This window comes from Homo sapiens, chromosome 8 (assembly GCF_000001405.40).
Source record: "Homo sapiens chromosome 8, GRCh38.p14 Primary Assembly".
Classification (NCBI taxonomy): domain Eukaryota; kingdom Metazoa; phylum Chordata; class Mammalia; order Primates; family Hominidae; genus Homo; species Homo sapiens.
The window spans coordinates 99378991-99393370 of record NC_000008.11 but is presented as its reverse complement, the minus strand read 5'-3'; the positions used below and the strand labels follow the sequence as shown (position 1 = coordinate 99393370).

Genomic DNA, 14380 nt, shown 5'->3' with positions numbered 1-14380 from the left:
CTAACAATTATTAATTTCTTATAAAAACATAAAGTATAATAAAGAAGGCAAAATAATTATCAGATCAACTGATATCATTTATGAATTGATATGTGATTGGTATGAGTTTACATATAAACTTTTCCACGCATATACAGATGCATTTCAAAATCTGTGATTGCATATTCTAAATAGTTCTATATCATCTATTTTCATTTACATTATAAGCATTTTCTGTCACCGTTAATTATCCTTAACCATTATTTTAAATATATGGTTTACATGCATGTAAGGTAATTCTTACCATTTTTTTTTCACTAATGGACATTTATTTTCTTAACTAAAAGGTGATGTTTATAAACCTTTATGTAAATTAACAGCTCAATTATAAACCTTTATGTAAAACCTAAACTCTAACTCTTAAACTTAACATGACATTTAAAGGAAAGAATATTTAATTTTATAATCAAAACTCAACACAAACTATATAATCTTTTTGTGATACAAAATGAGGCACAGGCATTTTTGTCAATTGATAAAATCTCAACAAAGTAAAAGGCTTGTGGCTATGGACAGGTGGAAGACTAATGATTCCACAAAATAAACATAATTAATGTCATATTTTAGGAAAAATCATAAAGCACAAAATAATAATACTTATGTATAAAATACCATAAACAAATTTATTTTAGCATTTTGGTTGTTAAATACGACTTAAATACTACAATAGCTAATTTGAATTTCCTTGCATATATGATTATATTTTAAATTCTTTAAGGGTAGGGATCTTCTTAATATTTCTGCCCTCAATTTCACTTAGAACAGAGTCTTGCCCATAACAGACTTGATAGATGGTTCTGATTTACTGAAACTATAAAATCTTTATCAATGTGGTTGGGAATATCTGCGTTATAAGAAATAAAGCTAAAGAAAAGACATAAAATTACCCAAAGAAAAGTAGCCAATCATCATAAAAATTAGAGGTTAAGAAGAAAAAACAAATCACAAAATAAAATCATAAAAATTATTTTTTTAATTATATATTGATGAATTATATATGTAAAATTCTTTTTATTACACAAAAGGAAATAAATTATTTTATAGAAGGATAGTTATACTTTATATTTACATAGAAGATCTAGCAGAGAGTATGAGAGAAAGGGGAGGAAAGATGATTAAGGTGTACTGTCGTTTTCAAGAATTCACTTAAAGAAGGAACATACTATTGAGAGATAATTCTCTATGGGTCTTTTAAGTAGAGGTGGTGATTGTCATTGTTCCCTACTGTGTTTTTAAGGATATTTGCATAGCGAACAGTCTCAGAAGATAGAAATACGATCCTGCTTCTGTGCAAAGGGCAAGTGGGCTCACACCCTTGCAAAGGAGACACAGCGCCTCCCTCTGGAGAATAGGGCAGGCATGCTTTCTATCCATTATAAAAGGTTCAAGTTCCCTAAATTCAGAATTCTTGGCCCTCTTCATGCCACCTTATGGAAACTGGGCTCAGGGCACTAACACAAAAAAATGCTAATACTGTGATTATTGCTAATGTTGTGGATAATAAAGTTCTTTGTCTCCACTCAATGAGTCTCATGTCTTTGGCCAGCATCCATGAAATTGTGGATGCTAACTTGCTAGCTTAGAAGTAGAGTACAATCATAGTCCCTTTACAGTACTTGACACATACCTGTTACCGTTTTTGTTTTTACAGGGCTGCTGGCATATTCAGAGGCCTGATATGATTGCTGCTTTGCCAAGGGGGCACTTCCAATAGACACCTCATCCTCTTTCCTTCTACAAACTGGCATAACAAGAGGAACAGCTACCACAGGCTGCTGGAAAGAGACAAAATGAAAACCTTTTTAGTTTTTAGTTTTTCACTATTTCTTAAGCAGCAAAGGTTAAACATGGCAATACTGAGGACAGTCCTTCACAAGTTGGGGCTGAGACTTCATTATTGTAAATCAATCAATCTCTCCCTCCCTCATCTGTCCCCACAGCCCCGCTTTTTTTTTTCTCTCTCTCTCACACACACACAGACACAGACACACATGCACACACAGAGCAATGCTTATCCACTTAAATTTTAAATTAAAATTCTGAGTGAAAACCAAAGAGCCTGTAAGTACCCAGAAAATGTAAGTTTTAGTAAGAAGTATTAAAATAATATGGAAAGAGCAAGTTAAAATTAAAATTCACTTTGAAAATTATGTTTTCAAAAAATGGAAAAGTATCCTTATAAAGTTATCCTTATAAAATGGATCCTTATAAAAAAAATCCTTATGTTTTTAGAAACATACTTTTACAAACTGATTATGTACATGTTAATATGGATAGTCCAACTTTTTTGAAGAATACTGAAAATCTCTACGTTTTGTCTGACAAAAGATATCCATAGCATATTCAGAAAGCACAGAAAAATAACTAGTTAGAGAAAGCTGGAAAATATTATGATCCTCTATTGAATGCATGAGGGCTGAGCTGGACAATAAAGCAGCTGTTTCATCTTTATTCACTGAAATAAAGTCTGATGTTACTGATGATGATGCCCAATACAATTTTGTCATATTATTGGCAAAAAAAGTTTTAAGTTTGCCATAGGATCAAAGATAAATGCTGAAGTGGGTGGAAAACAATCATCAAACGTTGCGTTTTAGCCACAGTTTGAGAAGGAAATTTTAGCTTTGGAAACAACAGATGATAACTGTAACACAGCTGTATCAGATGGTGAATCTGGTGGCGGTTGGTCAGGCTGCAGTGTAGTCTAAGGTTATCTTCAGTACCACAACCAAAGTTTTATAGATCCAACCTTAAGCCTCACCCAACTTAAAATACTCAATATAATGTACATTATAAAAAAGTATTTCAATGAAAACATGTTTATTATATAACTATGTAATAAAATCAATCATGTTCTGAAACATGGAAAAGGGCATATTATTTTACAAGTTGCTAGTCACACTGAGTAAAAAAAAGGAAAAGAAATTAGAGGCTGGGTGCGGTGGCTCACGCCTGTAATCCCAGCACTTGGGAGGCTGAGGCGGACGGATCACAAGGTCAGGAGATCGAGACCATCCTGGCTAACATGGTGAAACCCCGTCTCTACTAAAAATACAAAAACAAAAAATCAGCCAGGCATGGTGGCGGGTGCCTGTAGTCCCAGCTACTCGGGAGGCTGAGGCAGGAGAATGGCTTGAACCCAGGAGGCAGAGCTTGCAGTGAGCCGAGATCATGCCACTGCACTACAGCCTGGGCAACAGAGTGAGACTCCATCTCAAAAAAAAAAAAAAATTTAAAATGAGAAAAGATTAAATAAATTATCGAAAGCATCATAACATAGAGTGCCTGCTTTTATATTTGGTATTTAGTCAAACTGATAATACACAAATCTAAATTGGAAACCATTTTTAAGACCTAGATGAGATATGCTCCTTATATTGTTAAGTTTTGATGCATTTAAATTTCCTCATCTAAAACATAAGGAGGGGGGGTGGACTAGAAAACCTCTTATACTCTAATATTTAGTGACTCCATAATCCTTTGAATTTTTGTCCATTTATATTCCTGGAATACAATCCAAACTCTAAAAAGGTACAACCAAGTTCAGGATTAAAATTAATATACACTTGGCCCTTGAATAATATAAGTTTGAACCACATAAGTTCACTTACATGTGGATTTTCTTCCACCTCTGCCACTTCTGAGACAAGACGAACCCCTCCTCTTCCTCCTCCTCAGTCTACTATTCAACATGAAGACCTTCAAGAATGATCTACTTTCGTCCTATATAGTATTTTGTCTTCCTTATGGTTTTCTTAATAACATTTTCTTTTATCTACTTTAATGTAAGAATAACATATATAGCACATATATAAAATATGTGTTAATTAACTATTTATGTTATCATTAAGGTCTCTGATCAACAGTAGGCTATTAGCTAAGTTTAGGGGGACTCAAAAGGTATACACGGGTTTTTGACCAAGCAGGGAGTTGGTGTCCCTAGCCCTTGCATTGTTTCTAGGGTCAACTATATAATAAGTAACTAGAGAAAATTTATGTGCTATACAGTGTAAATTCAAGCACAATAGCTGAAAGATGCAACTAATGAAAGCACAAAGTTTTATAAATCCATATAAAATTTTATAGATCCAATAAATTTTCGTGGTACTGACAATACTAAACAACAAACAAAAAATACCTTTGGGCAGCTAAAGCTCTGAGTGTATCTTTTTTTTTTCTTTTTGAGACAGAGTCTCGCTCTGTCACCCAGGCTGGAGTGCAGTGGTGCAATCTTGGTTCACTGCAACATCTGCCCTCCGGGTTCAAGCGATTCTCCTGCCTCAGCCTCCCTAGTAGCTGGGATTACAGGCACCTGCCACTGCGCCCAGCTAACGTTTGTATTTTTATTAGAGATAGGGTTTCACCATCTTAGCCAGGCTGATCTTTAACTCCTGACCTCATGATCCACCTGCCTCAGCTTCCCAAAGTGCTGGGATTATAGGCGTGAGCCACTGTGCCCAGTCAACTCTGAGTGTATTTTCACACAGGCAAGAATTAAAAGGCCAAGGCCAAACAAAACCACTTTCTAACACAAGAGTAAGGCTCTTGTATGCCTTGTACACAGCTGTATACAAAATACCTATATTTGTTGAATGACTGCTAATAAAGATGCTGCATGTCAGGCATTAAGTGATACCAAATAAGGAGTAAGACCAGTGATTTCCTCCACTATTCTAGAAATATGGCTACCTTGGTCAAAAACATCAAAATAAGTAGTATTTATTTTTAACAACCTCCTATTACCCTGTGTATATTCTTTTTCCTTCTGGTACTGTAGCTCTTCTCAAATTTCAGTTGCAATCTAGTCTCAGATCTGTTCTATCTTTAACCCAAAAATGTCCCATAATCCCAAAATACCTAAAGCTTTTCATAGCTGCATCCTATAAAACGTAACCATCTTTCACTAATTATTAATTTAACAAATTAAAAAAATACTAGAGGGTTACAAAGAATACAACATACCTATTATGACCAATAATTAATGGCTATTAACAGTTTATCATATTTGCTTTTTTAAAAAAATATTATAGATAAAACTAAAATCCCCTTTGAGTGCCAACCTACTGCCCTTTCCTCCCAGAGTCAACCATTATTATGATATTAGTACAAATGCTTCAACTTAATTTTTACACCTGCATTCACTTACAGACACACATTAAGGGCAGTTTTAGAAAAATATATATAAGTGCCCTCATATTGCATACATCATTGGGAAATTGCTTTTGCATCAACTACAATTTTTGAGACATCCATACTAAGGTCTATTGTATAATTTTTAATAAATGTTATATCCTGTGAATATTTCATACTTTATCAACCTTCTTACAAATTTTCATTTAGGTTTTCAAATTTTCACATTATTGTAATGATTACACAACAGCAGGCTTACACAGTATTCCTTACTTTTATGAATTTCACTCTAAGAGCATACCTACATCAAGAAGTAAAAGTTTGGGGTTATAAGTTGGCTAATTTTCAATTTTATTAGATACTGACAAATTTATCAAATTTTCACTCACAACAATAGTAATCATTCTCTACATTTTCACCAATACTTGTATATCGGCATTTTTTTTTCACCTAACAGATTTTAAAAGGATGAGTGGTCATGACTTAATAAATATTGAACCTGGGTATGGAAACATATGGCTCAACTATGCAATTCTCTCGATTTTCCATGGTGGGGTGGGGCAGGGGGAACATTCAAGAGTAAAATAGTAGATTAAGAACATTTTTTAAAGTATATTTTTAAGTATGCCAAACTGTAGTAAAATAACAATGCTATCAACTGCTGTTCAAAATGTAAACTGGGCTGGACATGGGGTTCATGCCTGTAATCTCAGCACTTTGGGAGGCTTAGGTGGGTAGATGACTTGAACCTAGGAGTTTTAGACGAGCCGGGGCAATATAGTGAGACACCACCTCTACAAAAAAAATTGTTTTTTAATTAGCCAGGCATGGTGGTGGGTGCCTGTGGTCCCTGCTACTCAGGAGGCTTAGAAAAGAGGATCACTTGAGCCCACGAAGTTAAGGCTGCAGTGACCTGTGATCACAGCACTGCACTTCAGCCTGGGCAACAGAGCAAGAACCTGTGTGGAAAAAAAAGAAAAAGGAAAAAGAAAATGCAAATTTTATACCCATTTTGGAAGCAATTTGGTGATACAACAAAAGTCTTAAAATATGTTTCTAAAATGCAAAATACTTGCCTAGTGCTACTAATTACACTTGTAAAAATATATTCCAAGTCAATAAAGATGAATGCAAAGATTTAGGTATGGAGACATATACTCCAACATTATTTGTAACTCTGAATGAGTGGGGTTATGGTATTTGTTAGTTTACCTTTTATTCTTATTATTTTTAGAGATGGGGTCTCGCCCTTTTGCCCAGGCTGGAGTACAGTGGTGTGATCATTGTTCACTGCAGCCTCCACCTCCCAGGCACAAACAATCCTCCTGCTTTAGCCTCCAGTGTAGCTGGGACTATAGGCCTGCACCACCACGCAGAGCTAATTTTTATTTTCTGTAAAGACAGAGTCTCGCTATGTTCCCCAGGCTGGTCTTGAACTCCTGGGCTCAAGCAATTCTCCCACCTTGCCTCCCAAAGTATTGGTATTGCAAGTAGTTTAGCTTCTAAATAAAGCCATTATTTCTGAATTCGAAAAATATACCTATAATTATGTGCCACATAACAATGTTTCAGTCAACAATGGATTGCATACACGATGGTGGTTCCATAAGATTATAATGGCATATTTTTACTATACCTTTTCTATGTTTAGATATACAAATACTTACCTTTGTGTTACAATTGCCTAAGGTATTCAGTACAGTAATACTCTGTACAGGTTTGTACCCTAGGAGCAATAGGCTATACCAGAGATGGATTATAGCCCAGATGTCTAGCAGGTCATACCATCTAGGTTTGTATAAGTACACTCTATGATGTTTGCACAACAACAAAATTGCCTAATGATGCATTTCTCAGAATGTATCCCCATCATTAAGGGGCACGTGATTGTATGTTCATTTTAAAAGTTATAATTTTTTAAAAAGTTAAAAATCAAAATATTTTAATATGCTTGGTATCAATTAAATGAATGTCTAATTTACTTAAGCTGCTAGAACACTCTACTTGACCTTCAGGGATATCTATGGTACACTGGAAATAACTGTATTACTTAGAGAATAACCAATCAAGAATTTACAATGAAAATTATTCCCAACTGGTTACTGCCATTAGTCTAACTTCTGTATCACCCATTCTCTATATTCTGCTAGAGTAAACTTTCTAAAATCCAGCTCTGTTTATACCAATTTCCTATAGCTCCTCTTTACCCTTCAAAATGAAGTCTCAAATACCTAGGACTACAAATTCAAAATTTTTTTTCAGAAATTGGTTTCCAATTTCTCCTAGTCTCTACAAGAACACACTTGACTCCATTCTGGAATCACTGAAGTCTCTTTCTTGTCATGCTTTTGCATCTTCTTTGCCTTTGCTCAAACAGTTCAGTCTAAAACAACCTTCTCTGTCTGTCTCACTCCTAGAATACTCAGCTTAGTTGTTAATTCCTCCTTTTCACACACTACCCTGGTTGTGAGAACTATTCCTCTTGTTTTCACATAATCCTGGACATACATCTACATAGTTAATTACTAAAAATGGCATTACTATATCCCTTAAGATTCTCAAATACACTAAATACTCTCAGAGGGAGGGATATTCTCACCTATGACTTTTATTTCTGTGGCCATGGTGTACAGCATACTGCCTTATATTCTGTAACTACTCATTAAAAGGAAAAATGGGGACAGGTATGGCAGAAGTTTCAAATAAAATTAGGACAAAGTGAAGAAAAACCTTTAAAAGGTGCTCCTTAGTACTTTTTTGTTAAACTTTTTAATTCTTACATAATTATAAAATTGTGTATTCTTCTCCCATCAACTAGCTTGAAGTTACTTCAGAAAAACGATACAAAACTATTCCAAATAGGATATTGCAAAATTATACTTAAGTTGATGGGAAATTATAATTCAATAAAGCACGAATTTGGCCTCAAAAATTCTTAGTTCTGTCATTTACTTAAAGCTGTGTGACTATACATAAATGAATCTCAATAAGCATCAGTTTCTTCATCTTTAAAACGAAAATAATAAAACTGTCAGAATTATGTTTAAGTATTCTAGAAACTATAATTGCCTACTTACTACTTTCTAATTTATACCTTTTTAAACAAACACATATTCCAACCTTTTTTGCACCAACCATCCCAATCCCAGGATTAGGTATTCGATGCATGTTTGTTGAAAAAACCTAAATATGACAAGGAAATGTAGAGATAAAAATAAAAGCTGGTCAGACGCTGTGGCTCATACCTGCAATCCCAGCATTTTGGGAGGCTGAGGTGGGTACATCACTTGAGGTCAGGAGTTCAAGACCAGCCTGGCCAACAGGTGAAACCCTGTCTCTACTAAAAATACAAAAATTAGCTGGGCATGGTGGCACATGCCTGTAATCCCAGCTACTTGGGAGGATGAGGCACAAGAATCACTTGAACTCGGGAGGTAGTCCCGAGAGAATCACTTGAACCAGGGAGTGGGCCGAGATCACGCCACTGCACTTCAGCCTGGGAGGCAGAGTGAAACTGTGTCTCAAAACAAAACAAACAAGCCAACATTCATTTACTGAGCAATTCTTATGTATTGCACACCATGAGAATGGACATGTAGACACTATGAAAGAATGAAGACTGGTGAAATAGGACTCCTAAACTAGTTTCTGTTTTGTAAGCCATTGTACAGAAAGCCCCTTTAATAATCAAAGAAACTTTATACTGACATGCAATTTCTCATACAAAAATAAGGGAACGGAATTGTTTGAAAGGGGTAAGGTGGGGAGACAAAGGAAATCTAGTACATTTGTTAAAAAAGAATCCATCAAAAGACATATATAATTCTACTAAATGAATAAGAAAAATATTTGTTAACAGAAAAAATTATTTAAAAATCTCTTACCTGTTGCATATGTCTACTTGTTCGTTTCTGAGGCTGATAGATGAGCCACGTATATAAGATTGGGTCAATATTAACTGCTAGTCCTTGTATACTGCAAAGAAGTACAGCACCTAAAAGACAAGATTTTTAAACTGTTACATAAGTCCTCATAAAAAACAATAAGCTATTTGTCACTTTACACCATGTAGGATAGCTATGACATAACAGACAAACAGTAACAAGCGTTGGAAAGGATGTGGAGGAATGCAAACCCTGATACATTGCTGGTAGGAATGTAAACTGGTACACCCACTTTGGAAAATACTATGGCATAACTGGGTCATACTGCAACTATATGTCTTTTTGAGGAAATGTGGGCACCGAAAACTTATGCCCACACAAAAACTTGTATTCAAATGCTCATATCAGCATAATTCGTAACAGCCAAAAAGTGAAATCAATATAAATTTCCATGAGTTGATGAATAAACAAAATGTGGTATTTCCAAACAATGGAAAAGTATTTATCCATAAAAAGAAATGAAGTACTGATACATGCTACAGCACTGATGAATCTCGAAAACATTATATTAAGTGAAATAAGCCTGACAAAGAAAACATATATTTTAGAATTCCACTTATATGAAATTGCCAGAAGAGGCAAAAACATAGAGACAAAAAGTAGATTTGTGGTTACCAGGGCCTGTGAGAGGGGAGAGTAGAAATAACTGCTAAGAGCTATGTGGTTTGAGAGTGATAAAAATATTCTGAAATTAGAAAATGATTGTACAACCTGGTGAATATACTATAAAACATTGAATCACACAATATAAAATAATTGTATAGAAAGTGAATTACATCTCATTAAAAGTACATTTGTCCATAAAATATAATAATAAGCTCAACTTTTTAGGCAAAGAACAATTTTTATATTGGCCCTGAAAATGGAATACTTTAGGTAAAATATTCCTAAATAACTTTTTCATTATATTAAAAAATTGATTCATGATTTGAAAGAAGGTATTATAATCATTCAAAAAATCATTAAAAATTACAACTTTTAATGTTCAAAAGCAAAGAGAAAGGGCAGCCTAGATTAAATGCAGGCCAACATTCTGACATAAAACACAAAGCGGAAGTGTAACAGGCTGCAATTCCAACCAACTAACTAACCTATTTTTGTCCCTTTCTGATGAAAAGTAGTTCGAATAGAACTTACCTAAAGCAGAGTATACAATTCTCAATTTATGTGCGGGTTATATACATCTGTAAATAAGTTTCTGTAATTGTACATATATTTTAATACAAATATTATTAGCTCCACTAGGATATATGAAACATAAGGGAAGGGATATTTGTCAATTTTGTTATCAGCCAAACCCGTAGCATATAGGAAATATGCCATCATACTGAATGGGGAAAAGCTGATGCATTCCCCTTGAAAACTGGCACAAAACAAGATGCCCTCTCTCACCACTGCTATCAGACACAGTACTGGAAATCCTGGCCAGAGCAATCAGGAAAGAGAAAGAAATAAAGGCTATCCAGATAGGAAGAGAGAAAGCCAAACTATCTTTGCAGACAACATGAAAATATGTATCTAGAAAATACCATAGTTTTGGCCTAAAAACTCCTTAAGCTGATAAGGAACTTCAGTGAAGTCTTAGGATACAAATTCAACATACAAAAATCATTAGCATTCCTATACACTAACAACTGTCAAGTTGAGAGCCAAATCAGGAATGCAATCCATTCACATTTGCCAAAAAAAGAATCAAATTCTTAGGAAGACAGTTAACCAGGGAGGTGAAAGATCCCTACAATGAGAACTATAAAACATGCTCAAAGAGATGACAGAAACAAATGGAAAAACATTCCATGCTCATGGATAGGACGAATCAATATCATTAAAAGGGCCATTCTGTCCAAAGCAATTTACAGATTCAATGCTGTTCCTATCAAACTACCAATGACACTCTTCACAGAACTAGAAAAAACTATTTAAAAATTCATATGAAATGAAAAAAGAGCTTGAGTAGTCAAGGCAATCCTAAGCTAAAAGAACAAAGCTGGAGGCATCACATTACCCAATTTCAATCTATACTACAAGACTATAGTAACCAAAACAGCATGACACCTTTACAAAAGCAGACACATAAACCAATGGAACAGAATAGACAGCCAAGAAAAAAGACCACACACCTACAACTATCTTATCTTCAACAAACCTGAAAAAAACAGGCAATGGGGAAAAGGATTCCCTACGCAATAAATGGTGCTGGAATTGGCTAACCATAAGCAAATAATTGAAACTGGACCTCTTCCTTAGACCATATACAAAAATCAACCCAAGATGGATCAAAGACTTAAATAAAAACTCAAAACTATAAAAGTCCTAGAAGACAATGTAGATAATCATTCTGGACACAGGAACAGGCAAAGATTTCATGATGACAATGCCATAATGGGAATGGCATGGGAGAAAATGCCAGAATGGGAGAAAATTTTTGCAAACTCTGCATCTGACCAAGATCTAATATCCAGCATCTATAAGGAACATAAAGAAATCTACAAGAAAAAAAAAAGCAAGTCCATTGAAAAGTGGGCAAAGGACATGAACAGACAATTTTCAAAAGAAGATATACATATGGCCAACAAGCATATGAAAAAAAACTCAACATCATTGATCATTAGAGAAATGCAAATCAAAACCACAATGAGATGCCATCTCACACCAGATAGAACAGCTATTATTAAAACGTCAAAAAATAACAGATGTTGGCGAGATTGTGGTGAAAAGGCAATACTTATACACTGTTGGTGGAAGTGTAAATTAGTTCAACCATTGTGGAAAACAGTGTGGCGATTCCTCAAAGAGCTAAAAACAGAACTGCAATTCAACCCAGCCACCCCATTACAAGGTATATACCCAAAACCATATAAATGATTCTACCGTAAAGACACATGCAAACGTATGTTCCCCACAGCACTATTCACAATAGCAAAGACATGGAATCAACCTAAATGCCCATCAATGGCAGACTGGATAATGGAAATGTGTTACATATACACAATGGAATACTATGCAGCCATAAAAAAGAACAAGATCATGTCCTTTGCAGGAACATGGATAAAGCTGGAGGCCATTATCCTTAGCAAACTAATGCAGGAACAGAAAACAAAATACCACATGTTCTCACTTATTAGTGGCAGCTAAATGATGAGAACACATGGACACATAGAGGAGAAAAACAGACATTGGGGCCTATCAGAGGGTGGAGGGTGAAGGGTGGGAGAAGGGAGAGGATCAGATAAAAATAACCATTGGTTTATTTTTTAGTACCTGGGTGGTAATATAATCTGCACAATAAATCCCCATGACACAAGCTTACCTATATTATAAACAGGCACTTGTATCCCTGAACCTAAAATAAAAGTCTTTTTTTTTTAAAAAAAAAAAAAAGAAAGAAAAAGTATCTGCCTGATGGTAGGGGGCTACAAAAAGTATATGTCAGAATAAACCATAGCTGGTTCTCAGGATAACTGAAAATAGTACATTTGTTCTATAATGTTATAGATTATTTAAATTGGGAAAATTACTATTAATAACAAGCCCTATGAAACTGATATATAAAAAGACAGATAAAAGGATGAAGGAGAAAAAGTAAGAGAAAAAGAAATTTATCTTTTTTTCAAAGCTTTCCACAGAATCTTCAAATAACCAAAATTTGCCATGTATACTCCTATTCTACCATGTAGTTCTATTTTTTCCATGGGCCCAGAACCAGTATAAATCCTTAGGCAGCATGCTCAGACAACAAAAGCATGTGCCCTCCCAAGGACCAATATGTGTACTGTTGAGCAATGATTCACTCAAGCAGATGTCAGAAAAGAAAGACACAGAAAAGCTAAGCAAACACAAGATGATTGCAAAATGGGAGTCATAATTAAAGTCAACTGAAAATCCAATTTAATATATAATATACAATTTAACATATATTTCTTACTTTCATAGATTGCAAATTTCTCATAAGGACCTAAATTCTTCTACTTCCCAAGTATCACTTATACACAGAATAAAGGTATAAAAATACTATATTAAGAGAAATAAATAGGACTTTCCCAATATGATATCCAGTTTTCAAACAATTCTGGCAGCTCTACTACAGCAAAGACTGTCATCTCCACAGACTAACAAGAATAAAGTAGTACGATATATACAGTAAGATTTAATTTGCACTGTATTCTTATTTTATAACAACTCATTCTCCCGAAAAAGTTACTATGTAAGAAAGAGAATTTTCCCCCAATATGAAAAATTGTTTATTAAGACCTTTTGATTTTAAAGCAATTAACTGAACAAGATTTAGAGAATTTAAAAGGTTTATTTAAATTCAGGAATATATAATTCAATCTCAAGGGTTAAAAGATCTTTCTAAAACCTACGTAGATAAATAAAATTAAAATTAGATTTAAATTACTATGAATTTCTTTCTGTCAAATGAGCCCCTTGAACTGTAATTTGTTCTATAACTAATATCATATAAATACCACATAAAATACAATAAAGAAAGCATTCACTAAAAGAAAAGTGAATTACACGAAGAAAGAAGACTTTGGATTCAGAAGACAAAAGTGATCCTCAGTTAGATGTGAATAGTGTTAATAAATGGAATGATATAAATTCTGAAATAATGAATAAACAATGTAATCAATCAAATTTAGGATATAATAATATTGGGAGTATGAGCAAATAAGAACATGTGATGAAGGTTGGAGAAAGTGAAAGATAGCCAATTATTATTTTCCACAGTAAGAAGTCAATAAATAATGCTCCAAAATGAATATTCAGGAAAAACCAAGAAAAGCTATGTTATTTTAAAATACAGAAATAAACACCAAAATAATTCCTGAAAATTTGTGAAACTAGTAACAGCTAGAAAAGGAAACATTAAAAAATAAGTTCTGTTGCCCCCCCGCCCATCCGCCAAAAAAAAATGTAACTGGGATTCTGAAACTTGGGACACCAGGAAAGAGAGATAGATGAGCCTTAGACTTTCTTGTGAAGACCAACAATCCCCAGTCTTTATGGCACCAGGAACTGGTTTTGTGGAAGACAATTTTTCCACGGATTTGGGGGGTGGAGGAATGGTTTCAGGATGAAACCATTCCACCTCAGATGATCAGGCATTAATTCAATTCTCATAAAAGCATGCACAATCTAGATCCCTTGTATGCACAATTCATAATAGGGTTTGCGTTCCTTTGAGAATCTAATGCTGCCAATGATCTGACAGTAGGCAGAGCTCAGGTGGTAATGCTTGCTTGCCTGCTGCTCACCTCCTTTTG

The 14380-nt window shown here is 34.5% G+C and overlaps 1 protein-coding gene across 2 annotated transcripts in view; it reads right to left on the bottom strand.

Annotated features, from left to right (window-relative positions):
• Positions 1-14380, bottom strand: part of VPS13B (vacuolar protein sorting 13 homolog B) — an 864307-nt gene that overhangs the window by 484210 nt on the left and 365717 nt on the right. For both annotated transcript variants that reach the window (NM_152564.5, NM_017890.5), the window contains exons 20-21: positions 9054-9163; positions 1667-1814 (exon numbers count right to left, since the gene is read on the bottom strand). In NM_152564.5, coding sequence (NP_689777.3) covers positions 1667-1814; positions 9054-9163 — 258 coding nt within the window. The remainder of the gene's footprint in view (positions 1-1666; positions 1815-9053; positions 9164-14380) is intronic.